This window comes from Homo sapiens, chromosome 6, assembly GCF_000001405.40.
Source record: "Homo sapiens chromosome 6, GRCh38.p14 Primary Assembly".
Taxonomy (NCBI): Eukaryota; Metazoa; Chordata; class Mammalia; order Primates; family Hominidae; genus Homo; species Homo sapiens.
This window is the reverse complement of record NC_000006.12, coordinates 33358103-33373129: the sequence shown is the minus strand read 5'-3', so window position 1 is coordinate 33373129 and position 15027 is coordinate 33358103. Positions and strand designations below refer to the sequence as shown.

The window sequence follows — 15027 nt, the reverse complement described above, 5'->3', positions numbered from 1 at the left end:
ATCCTCACGCCCGCACACAGGTCACATGCTATGAGAATGAAGCCACAGCTCCTCCCAGGATGGAGATTTCAGCATGGTAATGAGGAACTTTCACTCAGGTTTATCTACAAGTTTCTGGGGTCTGCCAGGAGCCAGTTTTAACCAACTAGGTGACTGCAGTCAACACAGGGTTTAGGAAAAAAGAGGCTGCACGGCAGGAGGCTGTAAAACAAGCCAATTGCTCAGGGTGATTAAATTTCTGTAATCCCTGAAGACCCTCCCTGTCTGCTCACACAACACAAAACACTTGTGACCAGATGTATGGGACTTTTTCTCCACACACCAAACAGTTAACTATCCAGCAAATACTGAGTGGCCTATTTGATTCAATTCAGCCACTAGCTACCTGGAGATGGTATCAGATTCCACAGGGGGAGGGCTGAGTCCCAAAAGACTGCCTCCCACTTTAGATGCCAATTCCAAGACCAAGGCTGTGATCTGTGCTTCTGACAAACCTGCTATAAATCAGGGTTCCTACAACCCCCTCCTTGGCTTCATAATTTGCTAGGATTGCTAACAGAACTCAGGGAAACACGTTTATCACTTAATTATGCAGGACGTTTTAAAGATATAGATGAATAGCTGGATTTAAAAGATGCATAGGGTGAGCTTTTGGGAGGAAGAGGCTTGGCGCTTCCATGGCCCATCTGGGCACCACCCTCCCAGCACCTCCAAGTGTCAGTACCCTGCCAACCCATCAATTCTTTTTTTTTTTCTTTTGAGAGGCAGTTGCACTCTGTTGCCTAGGCCAGAGTGCAATGGCAAGATCTCGGCTCACTGCAACCTCCACCTCTTGGGTTCAAGGGATTATCCAGCCTCAGCCTTCTGAGTAGCAGAGATTACAGGCACCTTCCACCACGCCTGGCTACTTTTTGTATTTTTAGTAGAGACAGTGTTTTGCTATGTTGGCCAGGCTGGTCTCCAACTCCTGACCTCAAGTGATTTGCCAACCTCAGCAAAGGGCTAGGATTACAGGCATGAGCCACCGTGCCCAGCCCCCATCCATTCTTGTTCAAGAGTTTTTATGGCCGGGCCACTGCACTCCAGCCTGGGTGACAGAGCAAGACTCCGTCTCGGAAAAAAAAAAAAGAGTTCTTAGAGGCCAGGTGTGGTGGCTCACGCCTGTAATCTCAGTACTTTGGGAGGCCGAGATGGGCAGATCACCTGAGGTAAGGAGTTCGAGACCAGCCTGGCCAACATGGCGAAACCCCATCTCTACTAAAAATACAAAAATTAGCCAGGCATGGTTGTGGGCACCTGTAATCCCAGCTACTCGGGAGGCTGAGGCAGGAGAATCCCTTGAACTGGGGAGGCAGAGGTTGCAGTGAGCCAAGATCACACCACTGCAGTCCAGCCTGGGTGACAGAGTACTCTGTCTCAAAAAAATTTTTTTTTTTTGGTCTCAATCTCCTGACCTCATGATCCACCTGCCTCGGCCTCCCAAAGTGCTGGGATTACACGCCCAGGTAATTTTTGTATTTTTAGTAGAGACAGGGTTTCACTATGTTGGCCAGGCTGGTCTCAAACTCCTGACCTCAGGTGATCCACTTGCCTTGGCCTTCCAAAGTGCTGGGATTACAGGCATGAGCCAATGTGCCCAGCCTATTATTTTTAAACTGACAGATAAATTTTACATATTTATCATATAGGACATGATGGTTTGGTTTTGGTTTGATTATTTATTTATTAAATATTTATTTATTTATTTTTGAGACAAATTCTAGCTCTGTCACCCAGACTGGAGTGCAGTAGAGTGATCTTCTTGGCTCACTGCAAATTCAACCTCCTGGATTCAAGAGATTCTCATGCCTCAGCCTCCAGAGTAGCTGGGACTACAAGCATGCACCACCATGTCCAGTTAATTTTTGTATTTTTTGATAGAGATGGGGTTTCTCCTTGTTGTCCAGACTGTTCCTGAGCTCCTGGCCTCAAGTGATCCATCCACATCAGCCTCCCGAAGTGCTGGGATTACAGGCGTAAGCCACCGCGCCTGGCCTGCTTTTTTATTTTTATTTTCAGTATTTTCTTGAGACAAGTCTCCCAGGCTGGGGTGCACTGCCACAGTCAAGGCTCACTGCAGTCTCAAACACCTGGGCTCCAGTGATCCTCCCACCTCAGCCTATAGCTGGGACTACAGGCTCCAGCCACCACTCCCAGCTAATTTTTTGTATTTTTTGTAGAGACATGGCCTGCCTATGTTGCCCAAGCTGGTTTCAAATTCTTGGGTTCACGCAATCCTCTTGCCTTGGCCTACCAAAGCACTGGGATTTCAGGTGTGAGCCTCTGTGCCCAGCCTAATTCTTAGTTTCCATAGGTATTACATGCTATTTTGAAGCATATATAAACTTGGAATGACTAAATCTAGCTAATTAACATATATGCATTACCTCACATAATTACCATTTTTGTGGTGAGAACACAACATTCAATCTCTTAACATTTTTCAAGAATACAATATATTGGTTTGGTTTGGTTTGGTTTGTCTTTTTCTTGAGACGGAGTTTCGCTCTGTCACCCAGGCTGAAGTGCAGTGGCGCGATCTCGGCTCACTGCAAGCTCCGCCTCCTGGGTTCATGCCATTCTTCTGCCTCAGCCTCCCAAGTAGCTGGGACTACCGGCGTCAGCCATCACACAGCTAATTTTTTTTTTGTATTTTTAGTAGAGACGGGGTTTCACCGTGTTAGCCAGGATGGTCTCAATCTCCTGACCTCGTTATCCGCCCCCCTCGGCCTCCCAAAGTGCTGGGATTACAGGCGTGAGCCACCATGCCTGGCCTGTTTTGCTTTGTTTGTTTTGAGAGGGAGTCTTGCTATGACGCCCAGGCTGAGGTACAATGGTGTGATCTCGTCTCACTGCAACCTCTGCCTTCCGGGTTCATGAGATTCTCCTGCCCCAGCCTCCCAAGTAGCTGGGACTACAGGTGCGCACCACCACACCCAGCTAATTTTTGTATTTTTAGTAGCAATGGGGTTTCACCATATTGGCCAGGCTGGTCTCGAACTCCTGACCTCAGGTGATCTGCCCTCCTCAGCCTTGCAAAGTGCTGGGATTACAGGTGTGAGCCACCGCGCCTACAATACATTGTTATTAACTATAGTCATCATGCTGTACCAAATTTTAAATAGGAGGATATTCTATGTGTTCTACAACTTGCCTTCTTTTTCTGATGAACTTCATATTTTTGAGTCTTATATTTTGATGTTTTTTGTTTTTTTTTCTTTTTGAAATATTTAGACCCAGTTAGCTCATTTTATGTTGTAGAACAGTGCTGTCCAATAGAACTTTCTGCAATGATGGAAATTTTCTATATCAGCATTGTCTAATATGGGTACTCACTAATCACATGTGGCTACTGAGCACTTGAAATGTGGCTAATGTGACAAAGGAACTAATTTTTGAGACGGAGTCTTGCTCTGTCGCCAGGCTGGAGTGCAGTGGCGTGATCTCAGCTCACTGCAACCTCCACCTCCAGGGTTCGAGCGATTCTCTTGCCTCAGCCTCCTGAGTAGCTGGGACTATAGGCATGTGCCACCACACCCAGCTAATTTGTGTATTTTTAGTAGAGATGGGGTTTCACCCTGTTGGCCAGGATGGTCTCGATCTCTTGACCTCCTGATCCGCCCGCCTCGGCAAAGTGGTGGGATTACAGGCGTGAGCCACCGTGCCTGGCCAAGGAACTAAATTTAAATTTTTAAAATGTGAAACATAGACGTAATTTTAATTATTTAAATTTAAGTTTAAATAGCCTCATGTGGCTCATTGCTACCATGTGGGATAACGCAGCTCTTTAATATTCAATTATATAAATATATCACAAATAATGTATCCATTCTTCTGTTTATGGATTTTAAAGTATTTCCAATTACTTTATATACTGTTATATTAAAAAATGCTGCAATGAACATACTTCTGCATGCCTTCTTGAGCAAATGTGGGAGAGGCTGGGTATAAGCTCATAAGTAGAGTTGTATTATCAACTCTACTAGATATTGCCAAATGGTCTCCACAGTGGTTTTTCTGGTTTACGCTCCCATCCACTAGAAGAAAGTCCCTGTTGCCCTGGAGCTTCAGCAACATCTGATATTCCCAAACCTGTCTTTGCCAATTTAATGAATGTCGCCTTGTTATTTTATTATTTTATTTTTAATTTTATTAATTTTATTTTTTTCACCTCATCGTTATTTTATTTTATGTATGTATGTATGTATTTATTTATTTATTTATTTATTTTAAGACGGAGTCTCACTGTTGCCCAGGCTGGAGTGCAGTGGTATGATCTCAGCTCACTACAACCTCTGCGCCCCCACCCCCTCCCTGGGTTCAAGCAACTCTCCTGCCTCTGCCTCCTGAGTAACGGGAATTATAGGCACCTGCCACCACACCTGGCTAATTTTTGTATTTTTAGTAGAGATGGGGTTTCACCATCTTGGCCAGGCTGGTCTTGAACTCCTGACCTCATGATCCACCCTCCTCAGCCTCCCAAAGCGCTGGGATTACAGGCGTGAGCCACTGAACCCAGCCCTTGTCGTTATTTTAATTTGCTTTTTTTTGAAGCCCAAAATGTCAGTATTAATTTGCATTTTCTATTTTCTCTTTGAGGGATTGTCTTTCCTATATTTAAATTTTTTTTTCTCTTGGGTTGGTTGTCTTTTTCATATCGATTTGTGGAGTTCTTTGTAAATTCTAGACAGTAATTCTTTATTGGTTATATACCTATATATGATGTAGTCTGCTATGGCATGGCTTTTATTATTAATTTAATGTTTGCAAAACCAGCATATTTACATATATTTCAAAAGGTACAAAAAGATAACCAGGGGCTGGGCACGGTGGCTCACACCTGTAATCCCAGCACTTTGGGAGGCTGAGGCGGGCAGATCACGAGGTCAGGAGATCGAGACCATCCTGGCTAACACAGTGAAACCCCACCTCTACTAAAAATACAAAAAATTAGCGGGGTGTGTTGGCAGGCGCCTGTAGTCCCAGCTACCTGGGAGGCTGAGGAAGGAGAATGGCGTGAACCAGGGAGGCGGAGGTTGCAGTGAGCCGAGATCGCACCACTGCACTCCAGCCTAGGCAGCAGAGCAAGACTCCGTCTCAAAAAAAAAAAAAAAGGTAAAAAAAAAAAAACCAGGATTTTTTTTTTTTTTTGAGACAGAGTTTCACTCTTGTTGCCCCCAGGCTGGAGTGCAATGGCCCGTTCTTAGCTCACTGCAACCTCCACCTCTCGGGTTCAAGCAATTCTCCTGCCTCAGCCTCCTGAGTAGCTGGGATTACAGGCGCCTGCCCCCAAGCCCAGCTAGTTTTTTTTGTATTTTTAGTAGAGATGGGGTTTCACCATGTTGGCCAGGCTGGTTTCGAACTCCTGACCTCAAGTGACCCGCCCACCTCGGCCTCCCAAAGTGCTGGGATTATAGGCATGAGCTACTGCGTCCGACTTGATAAAGACTTTCATGAACACTAACATAGTTTCTAACAGTTCAAGGCCACATCTCTAGGATGACCCTAATGCCCTTTAAAGTGTCTGACTGAGAGAACTCAAGGCTGCCAAAAGAATGTACTGTTTGTTCCAGCCCACAGATGAAGGTAAGGCCCCTGTTTCCCAGCTGCTGTGAGAGTGTAGGAGCCTAATGATAAGCCCCAGCTAACAAGGCCAGGTGGGCTTAACACAGACCAACCCCCTTCCCACTTTTTGTAATCTGTCACTTCTCTGACGTCATTGAGTCCCCACTCACCCTCTCTGTTCTTTCATTCTTGCTTTAAAATGCCCAGTTATCTCTACAAATCAAAGTTGAGTTCAGTTCAAGCTAGGCTCTTTTCCCTATTGCAATAATATGTCACTGATTAAAATCTGTTCTTACCACTTTATTTATTTATTTATTTATTTATTTATTTATTATTTTGAGACGGAGACTTGCTATGTGGCCTAGGCTGGAGTGCAATGGCACAATCTTGGTTTACTGCAAAATCTGCCTCCCGAGTTCAGGCGATTCTCCTGCCTCAGCCTCCTGAGTAGCTGGGATTACAGGTGTGCACCACCATGCCCAGCTAATTTTTGTTTTTTAGTAGAGATGGGGTTTCACCATGTTGGTCAGGCTGGTCTCGAATTCCTTGCCTCAAGTGATCCGCCTGCCTCGGCCTCCCAAAGCGCTGGGATTACAGGCGTGAGCCTCTGTGCCTGTCCTGTCCTTACCACTTTAGCTAGTGTCTGGCTTTGTTTATCTATGAGATGATCCAGCAATTCTACTCCCAGGTATATACCCACGAAAAATGAAGATATATATCCACACAGAAACTTGTATACAAATGTTTATAGCAACATTATTTATAATAGCCAAAAGGTGAAAACAGCCCAAATGCCCACTAACTGATGAATGGATAAATAAATTGTGATCTGTACAGGCAATGGAGTATTATTCAGCCATAAAAAGGAATGCCAGCTACTAGGGAGGTTGAGATGGGAGGATCACTTGAGCCTGGGAGGTTGAGGTTGCAGTGAGCCATGACCATACCACTGCACTCCAGCCTGGGTGACAGAGTAAGACTCTGTCTCAAAGAAAAAAATAAATGAAAGGAACACAGGGAGTGATGGGCTGAGCGTGGTAATCCCAGCACTTTGGGAGGCTGAGGCAAGAGGATCCCTGGAGCCTAGGAGTTTGAGACCAGGCTAGGTAAGTAACATAGGGAGACCCCATGTCCACTAAAAATAAAAAAATAAAAAAATTAGTGTTCCGGCGGGGGCGGCCGAGGGGGAAGAGTGTGTGTCTGCGGGAGAAAGAGGAGAATCACCCAAGCGGCCTCAGAAGTCCCAGGGAGTGGAGGCCCCTGCCATGGAGCCGTGTGGTGTATGTGTGGTAACACCATGTCTGTGCCCCTGCTCAACGATGCTGCCACCGTGTCTGGAGCTGAGCGGGAAACGGCCGTGGTTATTTTTTTACATGGACTTGGAGACACAGGGCACAGCTGGGCTGACGCCCTCTCCACCATTCGGCTCCCTCACGTCAAGTACATCTGTTCCCATGAGCCTAGGATCCCTGTGACCCTCAACATGAAGATGGTGATGCCCTCCTGGTTTGACCTGATGGGGCTGAGTCCAGATGCCCCAGAGGACGAGGCTGGCATCAAGAAGGCAGCAGAGAACATCAAGGCCTTGATTGAGCATGAAATGAAGAACGGGATCCCTGCCAATCAAATCATCCTGGGAGGCTTTTCACAGGGCCGGGCCCTGTCCCTCTACATGGCCCTCACCTGCCCCCACCCTCTGGCTGGCATCCTGGCTTTGAGCTGCTGGCCGCCTCTGCACCGGGCCTTCCCCCAGGCAGCTAATGGCAGTGCCAAGGACCTGGCCATCCTCCAGTGCCATGGGGAGCTGGACCCCATGGTGCCCGTACGGTTTGGGGCCCTGATGGCTGAGAAGCTCCGGTCTGTTGTCACACCTGCCAGGGTCCAGTTCCAGACATACCTGGGTGTCATGCACAGCTCCTGTCCTCAGGAGATGGCAGCTGTGAAGGAATTTCTTGAGAAGCTGCTGCCTCCTGTCTAACTAGTCGCTGGCCCCAGTGCAGTACCCCAGCTCATGGGGGACTCAGCAAGTAAGCATGGCACCATCTTGGGTCTGAGCTGGTCGAGCCCCTGTCCCCACCCTTCCTGACCTGTCCTTTTCCCACAGGCCTCTAGGGGCAGGTGGCAAGGCCTGGCTGGGCCTTCCTTCCTGGCCTCAGCCACCTGGCTCTGTCTGCAGTAGGGGCAGGCTGCTTTCTTATCCCATTTCCCTGGAGGCGGGCCCCCCTGGCAGCAGTATTGGAGGGGCTACAGGCAGCTGGAGAAAGAGGCCCAGCCACTGACCCACTCACTCAGGACCTCACTCACTAGCCCCACTTTGGGCCCCCTCCTGTAACCTTAGGGTTTGGCCCATGGGGCCCTCCCAGGCCCCTGCCCCAACTGATTCTGCCCAGATAATCTTGTGTCTCCTGCCTCCACTCAGCTGCTTCTCAGTCATGAACGTGGCCATGGCCCCGGGGGTCCCCTTGCTGCTGTGGGCTCCCTGTCCCTGGGCAGGAGTGCTGGTGAGGAGGTGGAGCCTTTTGAGGGGGGCCTTCCCTCAGCTGTTTCCCCACACTGGGGGGCTGGGCCCTGCCTCCCCGTTACCCTCCTTCCCTGCAGGCCTGGAGCCTGTAGGGCTGGACTGAGGTTCAGGTCTCCCCCCAGCTGTCTCACCCCCACTTTGTCCCCACTCTAGAGCAGGGAGGCAGTGGGGGAGGAGTTGTGTCTTGTCTTCTGTCTCCATGTGGTTTTTGGGTGTTTTTCTTCTTGTGTCCTGGATTCTGATAAAATTAAAGAAATTGCTTCCTCAAAAAAAAAAAAAAATTAGCCGGACATGGTGACTCGTGCCTGTGGTCCCAGCTACTCGGAAGGCAAGAGGTTGGAGTATCACTTGAGCCCAGGAGGCGGAGACTACAGTGAAACATGATCACACCACTACACTCCAGCCTGGGCAATGGTAAGACCCTGTCTCAAGGAAAGAAAAAAAAAAAGGAATGTGGTAGTGATACATTATATGCTACAACGGTGAGGAACCTCAAAAACATTATGCTAAGTGAAATAAGTCATTATTTATGGATTTTTTATTTTTCATTGTCAAGTTAGCATTGTACACAAATACACACACATGCTCACACACACAGCTTGGTTTCATTTGCAAAACTTTTATTTAGGATTTTTCCAGGTATGTTTGTCAGTGAGATTAGCCTATAGCTTTCCTTTCTTTCACTGTCTTTGTCTAATATTGTTATAGAGGTTATATTAATTTTTTTTTTTGAGATAAGAGTCTCGCTCTGTCACCCAAGCTGGAGTGCAGTGGCACAATCTCAGCTCATTGCAACCTCCACCTCCAAGGTTCAAGCTATTCTTGTGTCTCAGCATCCCGAATAGCTGGGATTACAGGCATGTGCCACCATGGTCGCCTAATTTTTTAAAAAAATGTTTTTAAATTTTTAGTAGAGATGGGGTTTTGCCATGTTGGCCAGGCTGGTCTCGAACTCCTGGCCTCAAGAGATCCACCCGCCTTGGCTTCCCAAAATGCTGGGGTTACAGGCATGAGCCACTGCTACCAGACTAGGTTATATTAAGTCTTATAAAATAGTTTGAAAGTATACTCTCTTTTTGAAAGGCATTTTTTTTTCTTTGCTTGTTTGTTTTTAGTTTTCTTTTCTTTGTTTTTTTTTATGTTTTTGAGACGGAGTCTTGCTCTGTTGCCCAGGCTGGAGTGCAGTGGCACAATCTCGGCTCACTGCAACCTCTGCCTCCCAGGTCCAAGCGATTCTCCTGCCTCAGCCTCTTGAGTAGCTGGGATTACAGACGCCCACCACCACGCCCGGTTAATTTTTGTATTTTTAGTAGAGACAAGGTTTCTCCATGTTGGCTTCCCCAGGCTGGTCTCGAATTCCTGACCTCGTGATCTGCCCACATCGGCCTCCTAAAGTGCTGGGATTACAGACGTGAGCCACCACGCCTGGCCGCTTGTTTTGTTTTTAATGTTGGTTATAACTCTGTATCTAGGTAATTATCTCATGAAGCATTTTTCTGCTATTGGAAGCAATTTGTATAAAACAGTAAGCCTCTTCGCCCCCATTCTTTTACGGGGCTAATTTCTACTCATTCTCCAGTTCTCATCATAAACTTCACATTGTTAGAAAGGGCTTTGCTTTCTCTCCCACTAGATTAGGTGTCTCTGTTCCATGACTCTCAGCACATTTCATTGTGATGTCTCATTAAATGTTGGTATTCTCAGCTGGACCCTAAACTACATGGACAGGGACCTAACTTTTGTTCACCACTACCCCAGTGCTTAGCACATTGATGTCACAAAATTGGCCACCAATAAATATGTTTGGCGGAATGAGTGAAAGAAACACGGCAAACTGGAATGCCCTGGGAAGTCCTCCTGCTTCAGAACAAAGGAGAAGACCGGAAGAAAGAAGGGCTACAGCCCAGCTGTGGAAGCAGAGCCCTAGGCAAGGAGGTGTCAGTGCAGTCCTGGTCCCTCTGTGCAGGAGCCTCTCATAAAGAGGCTGAGCTGTGTCAGCACCAGGGGCCCCATCATCATAGGAGGTCAGTGAAGCTTGGGAGTTCTGGCAGATGCAGCAGAGGTGGCCCTGAACACTTGGAGATTCTGGGATGGTCACCTGGGAGCCAGCAGCCATGCAGGGTAATGGGGAAGACAGCAGCGATTTCTGGAGATTGGCTCCCCTCAAAGACAGAGAGAGGAGCTTGGGCAGGACTAGATTTTCCAGTTTTTTTGTTTTGTTTTGTTTTTGTTTTTGTTTTGTTTTTTTTTTTGAGACGGAGTCTCACTCTGTCGCCCAGGCTGGAGTGTAGTGGTGCGATCTTGGCTCACTGCAAGCTCCGCCTCCCGCGTTCATGCCATTCTCCTGCCTCAGCCTCCCGAGTAGCTGGGACTACAGGCGCCCACCACCACGCCTGGCTAATTTTTTGTATTTTTTAGTAGAGACGGGGTTTCAGCGTGTTAGCCAGGATGGTCTCGATTTCCTGACCTCGTGATCTACCCGCCTCGGCCTCCCAAAGTGCTGGGATTACAGGCGTCAGCCACCACACCCGGCCTAAGTCACACTTTCAAAATTCCTAAATCCACCCAAGGCACGGATAGCTCAGTGGCTTCTGCAGGGCCCTGGAGAAACTTCCCTCACCAGGTTCTGACCCTCTGGCTCATGTTGGGTAATCATCTTGTTTAGTCTGCATCTGCACCTTAGTACCAGGAAGTGCCTTAGGCTGAGGAACAAGAATTCACTACTCACTGGAAAAATCAATGTCCCAGGTATTCTAGCTTACCTATCAGTCTCGTGTGACTTTGGCTAGCGTCAGTCAGTTCCCTTGAATGTCAATAACCCTGAATATTCTGGCAAATAGAACTTTAAGTCAAGTTATCGCTGGATCCTAGTGACAATCATCAGTCCTTAATACTAGATGATGGTTTGTTTGTTTATTAGTAAATCCTGACTGAGCACCTCCTGGGGGCAGACCATGGTTGGGTCTGTCCCTGGTATCAACTTAGACAAATATTTCCATGTGATCCAGATATCTTAATCTATAGAGTGGATCTGAGAGCTGATGGCTTAGACCAGCTATTTGCTAAATTTCCTTCCCAGTATCTCAAAGGAGAATAGAGTAATGAAGGGAGGAGGTACTTGAGAGGGCCTGATTCAAGCAAGCAGGTTTGACTAAATTGTTGGATGGAGTCACCTTCACTACAACATTCCTCTCTGAGTAAAGCTGGGGCAATCCCAAGACAAGCCTTACAACTGAGTAGGGGTCTCTGGGAGCTGACTCTTTCCTGAGTTGACCAGCTACCGGCCAGACCAAGGTCACATTGGCACTTTTTTACTGCCATGCACAGACCTTTCACTTTTTCACTATGAGGGCATTTTACCACTTTATCCTTTGAATAAACTACAAGTACATAAGACACTTCAGCCTCACGCAAGCTTGGAAGGTAGGATAACACAATGGTGGGTAAAAGCATGTGCTCTGGAGACAAAGTCTGAGATCAAACCCAACCTCCAGGGAGTCTCTCTGAACCCATTTTGGTTCAGAGGGCTGCCTGAAAAAACAACAAAACAAAAAACCCAAACTCCCGCCTTTATGTCTCTGGGTCTCATGGACAAATAGGGTTAATAAGAGTCCTGCAACAAGGCTGGGCGTGGTGGCTCAAGCCTGTAATCCCAGCACTTTGGGAGGTCGAGGTGGGCAGATCACCTGAGGTCAGGACTAGCCTGGCCAACACGGTGAAACCTGTCACCACTAAAAATACAAAATTAGCCTGGCATAGTGGCACATGCCTGTAGTCCCAGCTACTGGGGAGGCTAAGGTGGGAGAATCACTTGAACTCGGGAGGTGGAGGTTGCAGTGAGCCAAGATGGCACCATTGCACTCCAGCCTGGGCGACAAGAGTGAAACTCCATCTCAAAAATAAATAAATAAATAAAAATAAAAATAGAGTCCTGCAACAGTGAGGATGCATTCAGATGAAAGCAACAGAAAACTCAGCTAATAATGTCAGTTAATAAAGACATTTAATTGTTTCATATTTCAAAAATGTCCGGAGGTCAGCAGCCAGTAAGCCCCCTAACGATATTATCTAAGACCCAGGGTCTCTTCATCCTGCTCCATCATCCTTGGCGTGCTGGCTTTTGGGGCCCTCTGTGTGATACTCCACTGATATTCTTGGCACATGGGAAACATCATCTGCTCTTGGATTTCCCAGATCAATCTGAGGATATTACTTCTTGGGGGTAGGTAGGGCCCTGTGGTGGTTTGGACTGTTATTCCCAATCCTTTGCTTCCTCCTTATTATTTAAGTGTACATCCATCCCCTTTGCTGTGTGACTTGCTTGTGCCAACAGAATGTCAGAGGACACGATGCAAGCAGATGCTTTCAATGTGCTTTTGTAGTTTGGCTTGGCCTCTTGCACTCCTGTGATCTGACAAGAGAAAGGCAAATTCCAGATATCCATTGCCCCTTCAGCTGTGACCCAGAATAGACACTGGACCAGGACTAAAGGAGTCCTACCAAGCCCTGTCAAGCCCAGCCTGATTAGACAAACCACAGACAACTCACAAACCCATGAGCATGAAAATAAATAGAGTGGCTTAAGCAATCTCCTGGGGACAGGTATAGGAGGACAGCAAGGGTCCTTGGGTTCTCAGAGTGTCCTCCAGCTCCTCCGGTTTATGAGTCAGTATGTACTTGGTCACATTCATCCTGGGGGCCTTTGGCTAAAGTCAACATTTAGAGTTTCTCGTGGATCTCTTGGCTGGATCTGATCTCACTGGTGCTTTCTGGCTGACTCAACCTCCCTGTGGCTCTCGGTAGCCCAGTGGGACCCCTGAATCTCTACCATGTCTCCCATTCAGCTCCTAACCAAGTTATGCAAACCACATGCCTCTGCTGCCAGGTCACCCTCTTCCTACCCCCCATGCCCCATGGCAGGCCCATGGCTCTCAATTCAATACCCATCACTGGAAAAGGGCTGGTAACACAAAACAGACCCTGTCTCCCTGCCAGTGCATCCTGATTTGCCCACTTATCTACAATGGGCAAAATTTTGTAGCAGCTTCAGTGATCTCTTCTGTTTTCTGGATGTTTCTGAAGCCATTCCCCCAATTCCAAGGCATCTCCTTGACTCTCACCTCCCTGCCTTCGTCTTGTTGAAACTCCAAGATGAGAAGTGGTAGGCTTCTCTTTTATTCTTTTCATATCTTATCTTTGGCTTCCTAGCTCTAATTGCCACTTCAAAAGACAAGGGTTCCCTTTGGAAACAATCTGTTGAGGTAGCTGTTATTATCCTCATTATGGACATATAGGAAATCAAAGATGAGAGATTAAATTACCTCCTCCTTTGGTAGAAACTTGATTCTAGATCTGGCTCTTGATTATGTTAAATGGGAGCTAAATGAATGCAGAAAACAATTTCTTTCTCATAGTCCAGTTTTCAAGTCCATTGTCTTGCTGCAAAATCCTATTTTGAATTTCAATAGATGCATATTACCATTTCCTTCTCTTTATATTTCTTCTGAAACAATCTTAATCTCCTCACAAGCAGTTTGATGCCACAACCAAATAAGAAAGAGGTCATTTACTTGCTGAAGGCAAAAGAGTATAAAAGGAAAAAACACATTAATAGTTTCTTCATACATTATCCATTCTAGCTCCCTGCTTCCACCTGACTTCCCTATTGCAAAGTCTGGAGAATCTTTATCTAGTCCTTTGAATGTGTGTATGCACACATGAGAATTCATGGCTGCATGCAAGAGTGTGTGTGCATGCATGTATTGATGAGAGTGTTGAGAAAAGGAACTCTTCATTTTCTCTTTTTTTCTTTTCTTTTCTTTTTTTTTTTTGAGACAGAGTCTTGCTCTGTCGCCCAGGCTGGAGTGCAGTGAGCTCATTGCAACCTCTGCCTCCCGGGTTCAAGGGATTCTCATGCCTCAGTCTCCCAAGTAGCTGGGATTCCAGGCACGTGCCACAACACCCGGCTAATTTTTGTATTTTTAGTAGAGACGGGGTTTCACCATGTTGGCCAGGATGGTCTCAAACTCCTGACTGCAAGTGATCCACCCGCGTCAGCCTCCCAAAGTGCTGGGATTACAGGCGTGAGCCACTGCGCCCGGTCCATTTTTTCTTTTTTTTTTTTTTAATGCCATAAGTCTTTGAAACTCTAAAGCCAAAAATTTGACCCATTTATTTATAATTGGTATTATACTGTCATTCCTTTCTTTAGGTAATAAAGCCAGAACCATTGGTTTTTTTCATTAAGATAGGGAACCAGGTTACAAGGATTACCAAAAATAAAAGATAATAGGCTGCTGTTTTTAAAACCTTACATCTCCAGGATCTAAGTCAGTGGCAATAGGGAGGGAAGAGAGGCATTTGGTGACCCAAACCAACTGCTGCTGAGCTGTCCAGTTCTCTGGCTCTCCTTTGACTTCTTGGAACCATCACTTTGACAACAATAAACTCCCAATGCAGGAAAACAAAGCCAGGATTTTTTCTGAGTCTCAGCCACATGCTAAGCGATATGTGATGTACTTTTGTGTACATTATCTCATTTCTTCTTAAAGCAATCCTTCATAGTAGGTATTATCATTTTCACTTTTCACTTTTTTTTTTTTTTTTTTGAGGCAGGGTCTCATTCTGTCACCCAGGCTAGAGTGCAGTGGAGCAATCACTACAGCCTCAAATTCCTGGGCTCAAGTGATCCTCCCACCTCAGCCTCCTGAGTAGCTGGAACTGCAGGCGTGTGCTACCATGCCCAGATAATTTTTAAATTTTTTTGCAGAGATTGGGATCTCATTATGTTGCCCAGGCTGGTCTCAAACTCCTGGCCTCAAGCAATTCTCTTGCCTCCGCTTCCCCAAGCGTTGGGATTACAGGCATGAGCCACTGCACTTGGCCTCATTCTCATTTTTTAA

General features: G+C 46.6%; 1 pseudogene, besides 4 other annotated features; it reads left to right on the top strand.

Moving 5' to 3' along the window:
- Nucleotides 6768–8393, top strand: LYPLA2P1 (LYPLA2 pseudogene 1; annotated as a pseudogene).
- Nucleotides 7292–7990: an enhancer, noted in NCBI's record as "H3K27ac-H3K4me1 hESC enhancer chr6:33332917-33333615 (GRCh37/hg19 assembly coordinates)". NCBI's record gives its function as "activates a minimal SCP1, AML or CMV promoter by ChIP-STARR-seq in naive and primed H9 embryonic stem cells {active_cell/tissue: H9 hESC(naive and primed)}" and the evidence as "EXISTENCE:reporter gene assay evidence [ECO:0000049][PMID:30033119]".
- Nucleotides 7991–8691: an enhancer, noted in NCBI's record as "H3K27ac-H3K4me1 hESC enhancer chr6:33332216-33332916 (GRCh37/hg19 assembly coordinates)". NCBI's record gives its function as "activates a minimal SCP1, AML or CMV promoter by ChIP-STARR-seq in naive H9 embryonic stem cells {active_cell/tissue: H9 hESC(naive)}" and the evidence as "EXISTENCE:reporter gene assay evidence [ECO:0000049][PMID:30033119]".
- Nucleotides 8755–9254: an enhancer, noted in NCBI's record as "H3K27ac hESC enhancer chr6:33331653-33332152 (GRCh37/hg19 assembly coordinates)". NCBI's record gives its function as "activates a minimal SCP1, AML or CMV promoter by ChIP-STARR-seq in naive H9 embryonic stem cells {active_cell/tissue: H9 hESC(naive)}" and the evidence as "EXISTENCE:reporter gene assay evidence [ECO:0000049][PMID:30033119]".
- Nucleotides 10573–10757: a silencer, noted in NCBI's record as "fragment chr6:33330150-33330334 (GRCh37/hg19 assembly coordinates)". NCBI's record gives its function as "represses an EF-1alpha promoter that drives an FKBP-Casp9 reporter gene in an ReSE screen in K562 erythroleukemia cells {active_cell/tissue: K562}" and the evidence as "EXISTENCE:reporter gene assay evidence [ECO:0000049][PMID:32094911]".